The sequence below is a fragment of the Homo sapiens genome, chromosome 8, assembly GCF_000001405.40.
Source record: "Homo sapiens chromosome 8, GRCh38.p14 Primary Assembly".
Taxonomy (NCBI): domain Eukaryota; kingdom Metazoa; phylum Chordata; class Mammalia; order Primates; family Hominidae; genus Homo; species Homo sapiens.
Genome location: NC_000008.11, coordinates 138,356,217 through 138,369,814, shown reverse-complemented (window position 1 = coordinate 138,369,814; position 13,598 = coordinate 138,356,217). Strand labels below are relative to the sequence as shown.

At 39.8% G+C, this 13,598-nt stretch overlaps 1 protein-coding gene across 14 annotated transcripts in view; it reads left to right on the top strand.

Moving 5' to 3' along the window:
* The window catches only part of FAM135B (family with sequence similarity 135 member B), a 367,708-nt gene that overhangs the window by 127,916 nt on the left and 226,194 nt on the right, over window positions 1–13,598 (top strand). For 13 of the 14 annotated variants that reach the window (NM_001362965.2, NM_015912.4, XM_011517062.2 and 10 more), the window contains one exon: window positions 1,813–1,908. In NM_001362965.2, the coding sequence (NP_001349894.1) occupies window positions 1,832–1,908 (77 nt within the window). In that variant the 5' untranslated portion in view covers window positions 1,813–1,831. Of the gene's footprint in view, window positions 1–1,812; window positions 1,909–11,254; window positions 11,478–13,598 lie in introns of those variants that run through there. The other variant, XM_011517065.2, reaches the window with a different exon arrangement.

The window sequence follows — 13,598 nt, the reverse complement described above, 5'->3', positions numbered from 1 at the left end:
AAATGAGGACAATGCAGCTGTTGATGTTTAATGTGATTATGAAGGGAAGCACAGGGTGGCTTCCATTTGCTTGCCCCTCCATCCGGCTTTGATTGGAAATGACTTGGGATTAAAATTGAGCCTCGGGTTCTGACCTTGACTGGCTCGGGTGTGTTGGGCAGGGCCAGGGTGCACCTCCATGGCTCTTCATTGGGAAATGGGTTTTTGGCACATTTTGTGAGCCAGGCCTTTCCATGTTTGCCAGATTGAAATTCTGTCTTGCAGAATTTATAGAGGTTGGTTCTGAGGATTTTAATTTGGTATGCAGCCTTCTGAATCTCTAGAAATATTTCCCGGATGAAACATTTGCCTGAGCTGAGATGCAGTTAAGGCCCAGTTAATCCTCCTGCTGTTATCTGTGGGATCTGGCCTAGCCTGACCCTGTTAACTGCAGTGAGGTTGCACTCTGAACCACAAGAATGGTCTGGTCCCTGAGGCATCTGGGGGCAGTAAGAGGGGCTTTGGAAGGAGACCCAAGTGTGAATCACCAGTTGCCAGGTGACAGAGCCATGTGTTCCCTTCCTTTCCCCTCTCCTCCTTCTCTCTCATTCTCTCCCTTCCCAGAGGTCATACCAGGTCTTGAGATCCTGCTAGGTGCCAGGTATATTGCAAGTCATTACCTCTTATCCTATCGGGAGTCTACTCAGTATCTTGCATTATCCCTGTTGTTTGTGGTAGTAAACAGGCTTGGAGAATGGGAGGATCTTACCAAAGGCCACACCACCAGCACATTCCAGAGTTAGAAAGTGGCTCCAGGTCAGAGCTTCTCTGGTCCTTTTTTCTTGCATGCAAAATGGGGCAAGAATAATACAAAATTCTTGTTGGAAAAAATCAGGCAACTTACATGGAATACTTTATGCAACACCAAGAATATAGTAGGTGCCCAATACAACTAAGCTTCTTTCCCTTTCATCACATTCCTGGTATCTAGATGCTTTCATATTCTCAGAAAACCCAACCTGCTTTAAATGTACCTCTCGGTTTATTTCTCATCCTAGACTTGGACTGTTTTAATGTTTTTTTCCTCCCATCTTTTCCATTCAACCATCTTGTTACTGACCCCCAGTAACAGCTAATTGGAAAATTAGCAACCTGTCAAGTTGGGTTAAACATCTACCTGGCAGCAGCACCCACATGCTCTATGTGCCACGCTTGATATTGCTCCAGCCATCTTCAGTCTTTAGAGACTGCATTTATAATATCAATGATAAAATCATTTTAAATTATTATTAACAATGGTAGCAAAAACTTATTCAGTATTTACTACACAAATGACCGTGCAGAGTGCTCAATGTGGCATATTTATTCTCTCTTTCCACCATTTATCAATGTTATGTGCTATTACCAGTCCTCACGTTACAGATGAGAACACTGAAGATGGGAGAAGTTAAGTGACTTGCTCAAGGTCACACAGCTGGAAAGCGGTAGAGCAAGGATTCTTGTGCCTTTGGCCATGAAGGATGTGCTCTCGGCCGGGATGTTGTTGTCTCCATGGTACTGACAGATAGGAAAGGGCAGGGGACCAGCTCAGCTTTGGAGTTAGGACACCTGGGTCTAACTCCTGGCCCTTCCAGGTAGAAGCTGTGACAGTAGGCAAGTCATTTTGTCTCTCTGTGTCTTTTTCCATAAAAGGAACCCTGAGTGGTGACGTTCAGTGGACACACGCTACTCCTGTTGGTCCTGTTGGTCAGATTGGTTTCCTGTTGTAAAAGCCAGGTTCTTTCTGAGTGGCTGATGTGATCTCAAACTGTTAATTTCTCTCTTGTTTTTCAGGTAATGAGCCAAAAAGATCATGTCTGAAATACAAGGAACGGTTGAGTTTTCGGTAGAGCTACATAAATTTTATAATGTGGATCTCTTTCAGAGAGGGTAAGTATGCTTTACAATTTGTGTGTGTGTGTGTGTGTGTGTGTGTTGTTTGTTTCTTTCCGTGGAAGAAGGTGGAGGTGGGGAAGTCAGATTATAGGAAATTTGGGACTAACGAAGAAAAGATTTTCATTGTGTTTTCTTGCCAAGTCAAAAATCCAAACCTTTATTGCATCTGAAAATAAACCACATATTGACAGAGACTAGAAAGTGCTAATTCATCTCCTCCCCCTGCACTCCCTTCTACCTACTCTCTTCTTGGTGGCTCTTTCTAATACATATGTCAATTTTAACGGGAAGTGAATTGATGGAAAATGAAGCTTGCCTGTGTAGCTGTGGTAAAAAGGAGTCAGTGTGTTCAATACTGATGCTGATGCAGGCCATTACTTCAAAACCACGTATTGTAACACTTGTGCCTAGATCTTTCAAAAACTGATAAGGTTGGTATTTGCAAACATCAATTCATATAACTGAAGTATAATGCTTTCATCTTTTTGAGGATGCAGTCTGAATTTGGCATTTCACGTGCAGGTGATATCAGTAAATCCTCATGATAGACTTACCTCCAAGGCTCATTGTAAGTAATCAAGATGTGAAATGGTTATATAAGAAACCAAACACAGATGTGAACTACATGTCTTCATGATGATTGCTACTACTTTTGACATGTTACTGACACACAAAAAGCAAAGTTAATAGAAATTGAATTAAGTGTCCAATTAACAGCGCAAATTAGTACAGAAAACAAGGGGTATCTATCCATTTGCTTTTGTTGCATAACGAACTTTTCTAAAACTTAATGGCTTAAAAACAACAACTTAGTTTAGCTCATGAGTAAGCAGTTTGGACTGGGCTCAGCTGGGCGGTTCTACTGAGTTAGATGTGGCTTGGATGATCTCACTGGGCTCGCTCACAGGTCTGGGGCTCCCAGCTGGGCTGTTGTGGTTCTCCTTGTGGCCTCTCATCCTCCAGCAGGCTTGGGCTATCAAGAGGGGAAATACACAAAATCTCCTGTTGTTCAGTCTTGGAATTTGCATAAAGTTGTTTTTCTAATACATTCCACTGACCAAAGCAAGTCACAAGGCCAGTCCAGCTTTAAAATGAAGAAATAGATACCATCTCTAGATAGAAGACTAAGACTCAATGTACATTTTAATAATCTACCTCCAAGATTAGACTCCAGTTGTGAAAAGACAACCCTGAGTTTAATGCTTCAAGTGCCTCTTGTGTGCTATGGCCCCTACTTACTTAAGGATGAAATTCAGTGAGGCTGAGTGGTTTTGGCAGGTGACCTGAACTCCAGGCAGTGAGAAGAATGGGAAATGGTTCTGAGATCAGCTTTCTGTTTCAGGGAAGGAGGCATATGAGGAGGGGTTTTGGGCAGCATTCACAGAGGCTGAGCTTTAATGAGGCAAAGGTCTGTGCATCCTTCTGGAAGTCCTCTTGCCATTGGTCCACCTCTCATTTGATCAGAAGTCACATTGTATATTGATAGGAGCCCTGGGCTTGGGGCCAGTACTCCTGAGTCCAGGCTGTGCTACTGCTTCAGGAGCTCCTTTGGCACCACTCCACTCTGCTTTTCAGGTTCACGTTTACAAGAAAAGCAAGCGATTTTGATAATGTCAGGTTTCCATCATGGTATTAGACATTTTTCTTGTTTGTCTTTTCCTGACTTTTCATAACAAACCGTAGAACTAAGCAGTATTATCTTCATTTACCAGATAGATAACTTGGGATTAGGGAAGTAGAACAGTACATAGCTCTAACATAGCAGAGTGAGGAGCTGAAGCTAAGTTTCTCTCATTCAAAATCATGTATTATTTTATATTATTTTATTATTTAAGGTGCAAAGTGGGCTGCATTCTCCCCAGGGTGCACAAGACAGCCATCAGGATGTGGAAAGAAAGTATTAGAACGTCTATTTACAATTGCTTTGGTGAAAAAGAAAAAAAAAATGGAAATCAAGCTTCACTAATAATTAGAATCCAGATTGATGTGGAGGACCTTGCTGTTTCTGTATGGCAGAATCCCGTTCAGTAACTTAGGTCTCAAGAGCAAAGAGGGAGTTTGTAACACAGACTGACATTGCAAAATACTGCAGTGTGCAACTGGCCAGTTACATACAGCTCTAAATTGATTTCTAGTTTTAACTTCACTAAGCCTCATATCGTTGGTTATGAAGAGTTAGGAAAAGACAAATAGAAAAATGTCTAATACCATGATGAATCATGAATTGAAGATAATATTAATAATGGAAGCATACTAAATACCAGGAAATGCCAGAACCAACCACATTTATCCTACTTCTTACAAAAGCCTATTGATACACACAGTAAAAATTAAAGATGATAAGCTAATCTATCTAACAATAAGTAGAGAGTGATTTAGTTATATTTTAAAAACTATTTGATATATAGACTTGTAAGCATAAATACTTACAATGCACCTTATTCTAAATGGATATTGGGCCTTGAGATATTGACAGTCTTACACAAAATAATCACCGTTAACAAAATATTTCAAAATAACACATCCAATAGACCCTTGTTGAGTTGTTAAAAAGCTTGAAAAATGAGGATAAAAATCATCACCTATTCAGCAAGCCTAGGATACTCTTCCCTTTTTTCTAGATCAGTATGTTTTTGGGAAGCATCTCGTTTATCCATGCTCACCACTAAAGTCTCATATTGAATTAGGATAAACTAAAACCAGAACTTGGAACCACTCTAATGTTTTTTGGGAGAACAAAAATGCTACGTGATCAGCCAGGCATGGTGACTCACGCCTGTAATCCCAGCACTTTGGGAGGCTGAGACAGGTGGATCACTTGAGTTTGGGAGTTTGAGACGAGCCTGGCCAACATGGTGAAAGTCCATCTCTACCAAAAATTCAAAAATCACCTGAGAGTGGTGGCGGGCACTTGTAATTTCAGCTACTTGGGAGGCCTAGGCAGGAGAACTGCTTGAACCAGGAGGTGGAGGTTGTAGTGAGCTGAGATTGTGCTACTGCACTCTAGCCTGGGTGACACAGCGAGACTCCATCTCAGAAAAAAACCCAAAATGTTATGTGATCTATTAATATATAAAATATCTATTTTTAAAACATGGATTATTATATCCTTCTCTCTCTTTAAAAAACCTTTTTCTATATTTGTAATGCATATTATATATGAGGATAATTGTACATGTATAGTATTTATAAATAAATATACATATATTGGGGTTTTATACTCAAGAATGGTTTTACAGATAAGCATGCAAATCATTAATAGTTGGAGACCACTCGCCCAGAAGATTAGGAATATTCTTACAAGCTTCTAGCTCTTAAGGCTAGCATTTCACGGTTTTAAGGAAGGTGCGTATTTAGGCACATACTTCAGATGTGGATGAGGGCATAATCTTATGACTACATATGCTTGAGGGTCACTTGATTGCAGTTACTTCTATGGACAGGTCTGAGCGTGGTTTTGGTGAAGTGAATTAGACCTCTCAGGTGGATGCACACTGTTTTGTAATGATGTCTCACATCTCTACGGTCTCATCAGCAACAAAACCTTGCACTTGTTAACCACCAGCCTCCTAGATCCTGCCTTTGGGCAGCTGTGGACAGACTGGGCATGATGCCAACCAGGATTCTGCATTTGCCGGGGGTGTTCCTGACAGGCATGATCCCTGATGCTCAAGTGCTAAGTATTTTTCTCCTCTGAGTCCCACAGGAGCTATGCTTAAAATGAAGTGTAATTACTTTATCCAGCAAGTGTTCCATGGAGAGGGCATGGCTACAATCCAAGCCTGGTGTGCAAGGTGGGGCCCCAGGGTAGCTTCTGAAGAAAAGCAAATGGTCTTCTGACATTAGTAAGGAGAAGAAATGTAGATTTTGGGGAAGTTGGTTCCTTTTTGGGGTGCGAGGATGTGTGATTAAATGTGTGCTCTACAAGGTCTTTGGGATGGTAAAAATTAGAGTTGGGGATTGCAAGAGAGGGAGAGTACCCTTTCTCAGACTGAGCCTGACTGTGGTCTTCCAAGTTCCACCTCATTTACATAGTTTATGAGAAATATCTCCTCCATCCAAATGTTGCAGCTCATTGTTACATAGCTGGCCAGAAAGAAACCTCCCCTCCAGTTTTTATAAGATGCTATGTTGGAAGCATAAAGATAAAGAAGAAAGAATATTGCCTGATAATTTGTCCTGATCAGGGAGTTCCTTGCTTCTACCACATTTATATTCATGGGTGTTTGTTCCAGTCTGAGAATGCACACTGCCTTGTAATGATGTTGGCTTTGAGCGAACAGTCAACATGCCTTCATCCAAAGTCTATATGGACTGACACAAATTCTCAAAGGGAAAACTTTTCCTCAAACCAGTCATCAAGAATCATACGATATCACCCCCACATTCAGCAGTAAGACTCATGCTGACAAAAAGTCAGGGGCAGGGAAGTACTGAGGACCTGGCTTTGGGGTCAGACCTTAATTTGAAGCCATGGTCTGCCATTTTTGAGCTCTGAGGACTTGGAAACTTCCCCCAACCCAACATTGTATGGCCTGTAAAATGGTGGTGACAAAGTCTGTCTTGTGGGGCAATCTGAAAGTTTACGGCATTAATTAATATAGGCAGAGAAGGTAGTAGGGTACTTTGTATCTAGCAGATGCCAACTAAATTTTCACTACTACAAGTACAGCCTTGTCTCTAACCTGTCATTAACACTATTAATGGAGTTACTACCCAAAAAGGTTGTCATGACCACCTTGCTTCCCTCTTTAAAACCCTCCCAGTTTCTTTTTGCTCTCACTCATCAGACAATTCTTGGCCCTCTTCCCCCTAGCATCTCTCTTGAAAATTCTATGCTATACAAGTTCCAGCTCAGTATAACCTCCTCTCCCAACCATTTCTGCATATTGACATTTAGCTATTGTGTTCACCCCAGATTTTTGGAATCCGTAGCTTTTCCATATTCCTAAGGCACATCTGTACATGCTTTATTTGGTCATCTACTCATTCCCAAGGACACTAGTTGGCATATGGTATTGCTTTCAGCTCTAGAAACACTAAGATGAAAAGATAGAGCCCCTGCCATTGAGGTGTTTACCAGCTAATGAGAGAGGCTGACATATACATAGAAAATGACCATCAGTTCAAATATTTCAGTAAATCTTGAAGTTATTTTTACAGGGTATGTGTATCCCAATTAGATAACAATAATAAGTAATCGTACCATGTGTCATACCATTTATACATTATCCAATTTATCCTCGAAACGTCCCCAAGACTCTCTATAACTTCTGTGGCATGAAGAAACCAAGGCCTCAAGCTAAGTTTTTTGCCCAAGTACACACAGCTGACAAATGAGAAGGTCAGAACATCTGACTTCAAGCAGTATGTGCTATCCACCTTGCAACATCTTCTTCACATCTTAGAAGGTGACTTGAGGTTGTGGAAACAGCTATAAGTCATTCAGACCAAAGTCTCATAAATTAAAGGGTCACTCAACCAATGGCTGTCAGTGAAGACTCGCATGTGCACCATAGTCCATGCACAATACTACTTGAGGAGATGATCAGATGAATGGTCCCTACCATCACCAAATTGTGTAATGGTATTTGGTAAAAAAAAAAAAAAAAAAAAAGATATGGGGGTGGGGGATGGTGAGAGGGAGGTGGGGCTGGTTAATGGGTATAAAAGAAATTAGAAAGAATAAGTCCTGCTATTTGATAGCACAACAGAGTGACTATAGTCAATAATAATTATACATTTAAAAATAGCTAAAAGAGGGTGATTGGATTGTTTATAACACAAAGGATAAATACGCTTGAGGAGATGAATACTCTCTTCTCCATGAGGTGATTATTATGCGTTGCATGCCTATATTAAAACATCTTATGTGCCCCATAAATATCTGTACCTACTATGTACCCACAAAAATTAAAACTAAAATTTAAAATCAGGAAAAAAAGAAAATGGCCATCATATGCATGGTAGATGCTTGTCACTGAGACAGACTGGGGATACTATGAAGAAACAGAGAAGGAGGAATGCAGTCTCTAGGCAGAGTCAGAACAGATGTCTCGGAGTGAAATAACAGCAGAGCTGTCACTTTAAGGATGGATGTGGGTCAGCCCGACAAGGGACCTGGATATCAGAATGCTGAGCCCACCTGAAAGACCAAAGATGACAACTCATGGTTAAAGTGAAGAGTAAGAGTGGGGGAGTGGGCGGAGGTGAGAGGATTTATGAATTTATTTATTGCAGCATACTTTTTATTAGACTTGGAGATGTAGGGATGTGAGTGTCAACTGCCACAGACTTTCTAGACTGCGGAAGAGGAAACTGCAAAAAAGGAATGTTAGAGATGTAAAGTGTGGCTTTGCCTTCTTCTCTGTCAATGTGAGCTTCTTCAGAGTAAAGATCTGATCTTATTTGACTTTGCATTGCCAGTGCCCAGCATAGGGTCTAGTGCGTACTGGGAGAAAAATTGTAGCTTATCTTTCATTGTATTGAACTTCCTGTTTCTTCTTTCAAAATTTATTCAATTACAGATGAGTCACATGGATCTTCATTAAATGATAGTAATAGAAGATGATTCCAAATTCCTAACGTTCTATTTAAATCAATGCTGCTCAAATGGTGGCTCACGGACCAGCAGCATCCCCATCAGCTGGGAACACATTAGAAATGGAAATTCTTGGCTGGGCGAGGTGGCTCACACCTGTAATCCCAGCTTTGGGAGGCTGAGGAGGGTGGATTGCCTGAGGTCAGGAGTTCGAGACAAGTCTGGCCAACATGGTGAAACCCTGTCTCTACTAAAAATACAAAAAAATTAGCTGGACATGGTGGCATGCACCTATAATCCCAGCTACTCGGGAGACTGAGGCAGGGGAATTGCTTGAACCAGGGAAGTGGAGGTTGCAGTGAACTGAGATTGTGCCACTGCACTCCTGCCTGGGCAACAGAGTGAGACTTCATCTGAAAAAAAAAAAAAAAGAAGAAATGGAAATTCTTGGCCCTGGTCTCAGACCTACTGAGTCAGAATCATCTCTGGTTGAGGGGCTTAGGAGACCGTGTTTTAATATGTTCCCTGGGTGACTCTGGTTGAAGACCACTGCTGAAAGAGTTCCTGTGAAAATCTCAAACTTCATCATGTACTAGAAGTTCCTGGAAAACTGAAATTTTCATCCTCCAGACCAACTAAGTAAAAAAAATCTTCACAGTGGGACCGAGGTGTCAGCACTTGCTAAAGTTCCCGAGGTAATTCCAAGGTTGGAAATGATGGGATTAAGGCTAAGTGAAGATTGCACAGGCCAAGTAATCTCAGCCTCTCTTTGCTAGCCTCTTTATTATAAAGAAAATGAGACCCTGACTTCTACTTTCATAACCAGATTGCGAAGCCTCCTCTTCCCCAATAGGACACTGGATCTTAACTCCATTTATGCATTCTTCTGCTGTGGAAATTCCAGAGACTTTGTGTTAGCTTTCCAGCTTGGTGCTAGTGGTGAGAAAGCAGGAGGAATGGTCTTATTTTCATATGCAATACTTTTCCCCCAAGGAAATACTTTCTAAGTGAACAATTAATTATAAAACTCATTACATAGATATTTGTTAATCATCAGTATATCCATAACTCATTTGTATCTATTTACAAGAGCATGAACCTGCATTTCTAATATTGTTAGCTGAAATGGAGCTAACATTTGTCCTTGACAATGAATTCAAATTTGGTTTTAAATATTAATTCAGACAAAACTCTAAATCAAACTGATTTTCTTTCCGAGTAAGATTTTTCATTGTTTGATGTTGAGATTCATCCCCTGTCTTTCTTCCTCTCCTTCTTTACATATCATTTAGGAGATTTTCTCCCCAGTGGCTTTAGATGATTTTACTGAGAAATTCTGTTCTCATCCACAGAACAGTCTCACAAAAAGGACCTATAATCAGTATTATCAGAGCTGATGTAAAAGTGTGAAGGCTCATAGAAATGTTAGGATTGAAATCTCCTTTGAACGTACTCACCTGCCTTTTCTCTACCAAAGTGGAAATGGTTGAGTTGAAAGTCAAGTGCTTCCTGAAAGACAATGTCATCTTGTGTTTCTACCTGATGTGTCCCATCACTGCCTAATGCCCAGCGACATCCAGCTCCCCTGTGAAGTTAGCTAACTAGCCCTAATGTGCCTTAATAGACTCAGAAATACAATTATCTTTGCTTGCCAGTGATTAATTGATTTGTCTGGTTCTGTCAGAAACAATCTTTTTTCCCCACTTCTCTTATTAAAATATGTTGAGATCCTTTTCATTCATTCCCACACTTTTGAAAGTGAGTGGGAATTATAAATATTTGAGAGCTGCATTGAGTGTTCAGCTTTGCTTGACTAAGAAACAACTGTTAGAGAGCTGGGCAGTCAGCATGCAGGTGAACCTTCAAGTTTAACATTACGACAGCTTTGACAATGGTGCATTTGTGAAGGTAGAGTGTCCACCATGATGAATGGTAGGTGGGTATGATTTGGACACACCACAGAAGCAGTGGATTTAATGCATCATTCCAGTCTCATGACTTTTCAGTTGTTCAAGCCAATCCATTCCTTTTATTTTTGTTAAAGCCAGTTTGATGTAGGATATTGATCACTTACAGTCAGTGTTTCATCTAGCACAAAGGGGTAGGTAGCCTTGTTCATCTCTGAGTCTTTTTTTCTCTAAAATTCCATAAATATTATTTTAATAACAATTTTACATCCCCCTTTCATACAATGACATTATTATCATTGTTCCTATGATGAGTGAATAGACTTCAGTTACCCAAGTGCTTATGTAGATGAACATTCTGGATTATTTTTTGGACAAATCCACATTCCTGTTAATGATTGCCCTGTCCTATTTTTTTTTCTCAATTTACCTTTTAATCTGTGACTTCATGAGCCTGCTGCTTTGAGCCTTTTATCCTCTTAACCCCTGGCTGAGGACAGGCTCAGCAGGTGTATAAAGAAAAGCTCTTTCTAGGGGACCGGACATTGACCTGCTGAGATTTAAAATGCCTCTGGTGAGCTCAGAGCCACCCACAGGGCCCAGATACTTCCTGGTGGAATCAAAGGCAGAGCAGAATGCCACTGGGAAGTGTGGTCCTTTCTAGTTTTGTGCTGTAAAAGAACTCTGTACTCTAAAGGTACTTGACGGTTCTCACTGAGGTCTCTTAAGTAGAGTAAAAGGTCATGTGGCCATGAAGGTAGGATAATAGAAAATCAGAGACATTTAAGAGACACATATCCTGGTTCTAATTTCATTTATTCTATTATTAGCAGGGTACCCATGGGCAAGTTATTAAAATTTTTAAATCTCACTTTCTTCATTTGTTTTGCAGAATCTATTAAATGTCCATGAGGTGATATTTGTAAAGCACCTAGTAAAATAGAGGCCCAGGTTTTACAGTACAAGCCAAGAGGACCCAAGCCCTCTATGGACTACTCCATTGATTGTAATTGAGACTCTGAACCAAACATCCTCAGCTGGTCAGTGCCAGGGCTAGAACAGACTGTCGATCTGGTCAAGCTCTGAATGTATGTTCCTCTCTACATTTTATGCAGGTACTTTATACTTATTCCAGCTAATTCCTCAGGAAGGGGTCTTCTTGCCACTTAAAAACTTAATTGATATGGTTTGGCTGTGTCCCCACCCAAATACCATCTTGAATTTTAGCTCCCATAATCACCATGTGTTGTGGGAAGAACCTGGTGGGAGGTAATTGAATCATGGGGGCAGATTTTTCTTGGGCTTTTCTCGTGGTAGTGAATAAGTTTCATGAGAGCTGATGATTTTAAAAAGGGTAGTTCCCCTACACATGCTCTCTTGCCTGCTGCCAGGTAAGATGTACCTTTGCTCCTTTTTCACCTTCTGCCATGATTGTAAGTCCTCGCCAGCCATGTGGAGCTGTGAGTTCATTAAATTACCCAGTCTTGGGTATTTCTTCATAGCAGTATGAAAATGGGTTAATATACTAACGGACACCATGTTTATTCCTATCGGCTTCAATAGGATAAATCACATTTTCTCTTTTTTACTTTACATCTGAGATCTACAAAGTGAAAATGCCACGTTTCTAAAGAAATGATAGCTGTAGGGACACTAGGGAAATATAGTCAATAAAATATACTAAACTCTAGAATGTTTCTTTCCTAGAAGTTTTTTGAGTAGATCTTGGGCCAGAGGAGGTATAAGAAAGAGAGTGGGATCCTTCACTGCTCTTGTTTTTTTTTCCCATGAATTGTCAGATATTGCTCAAAAGCAGTTTTAAATGTATTCCTTTAGATATCTTCATTTTAAACTTTCAGTTGCACACATATATGTATCTGTGTATGTTTATAGTTCTGATTACATAAATATGCATACTGTGGAAATAAGAAAAAGTACAAAGAAAAATGTCATCATATTCTTTCACTAGGCACAAACTATTTTATATTCACATGTATTTTCCTTCACAAAAATGTAGTGTATAAGTTACTCTCTGTTTTTCTCACTTTCCAAGTTATAAACATTTTCAATAACCCTACATATTTTTACAACATAATTAATAACTACACAGAATTCCATCATGTGATTCTATTATAATTTATTTAACCAATGCTGTATTTTTGGACATTTCACTTGTTTTATAGTTTTAGTTTTAATATTATAATGCATTTAAGAGCATTTTATAAATGGGGGAAAAACATGTTGCTATGCAACAGTAGCACAAATTTTCATAATTTCATTATTTAAAATTGTCTTTTTTTCTTTAGGAAACTATTCTCTATTGATAATATAAATAATATGCTCTAAAAATGAATACATCTTGCTGCTTGTCTTGCTTTGTAGTCCAGGTTAATGTTCATGAAGATTCATATTCTCTTTGATCAAACTCTTCTATCATTGAACAAGGTGAGGGAGGAAATGATCTTTGACTTAATTGTCCTCATATACTCCCAAATCTCTTCTGCTCCACCCCTTCTAAAACCTCTGCAAAAGACATTTCACAAAGCTTAGAAGAATTAAACATAGATTAAGAAACTTCATGGTATTAGGTAATGGATCTGCACTTTTTAAGTGAGAGGAGTTTTCATAAACAGAAAATGTCTACAAATCTTCCATTCAGCTGATGTAAGGGTTTCCGTGGCTCCACAGACCCCAGCCATTGACACTCAGGTAGCTGAGTTACTGTTTAGAAACTTTTGGAAAAACGGAAGACACCATTGGAGGCTGTTCTGATGTCCTTCCTCAAAGTAGGGAGATCTTTGCTTTCACCATCATACATTGTGTTCTCAGACCAAGTAAAATTTGGTGTTTTATTTGAAAAAATCACTTCACCATCATTGGGTGAAACTGTCTTTTATGTCTCAACCCAATGGAGTTAACCAGAATTCTTTGGAGAAGAAAAATTTTGAAATTCTGTGTTATTACAAATAACCTCATGTAATTCTCACAATTCTACAAGGAATATTGTATTATCCCTAAATCATAGAGGAAGCAGAGGCTCACATGGGTTCAATATCTGCCCTGGTTTTGAACGTTCTGCAAGTGGCCACTTGAAAGAATTCATTCTTGGATGCCTAGACTCTAGCGTTCACATACTCTTATGTTTTCTCTCACTCGCTGGCTCTCTCTTTCTCTCTCTCTCTCTCTCTTTCCCTTTCTGTCTCTACCATGCCCCCCTCAACACACCATTTTAGTCC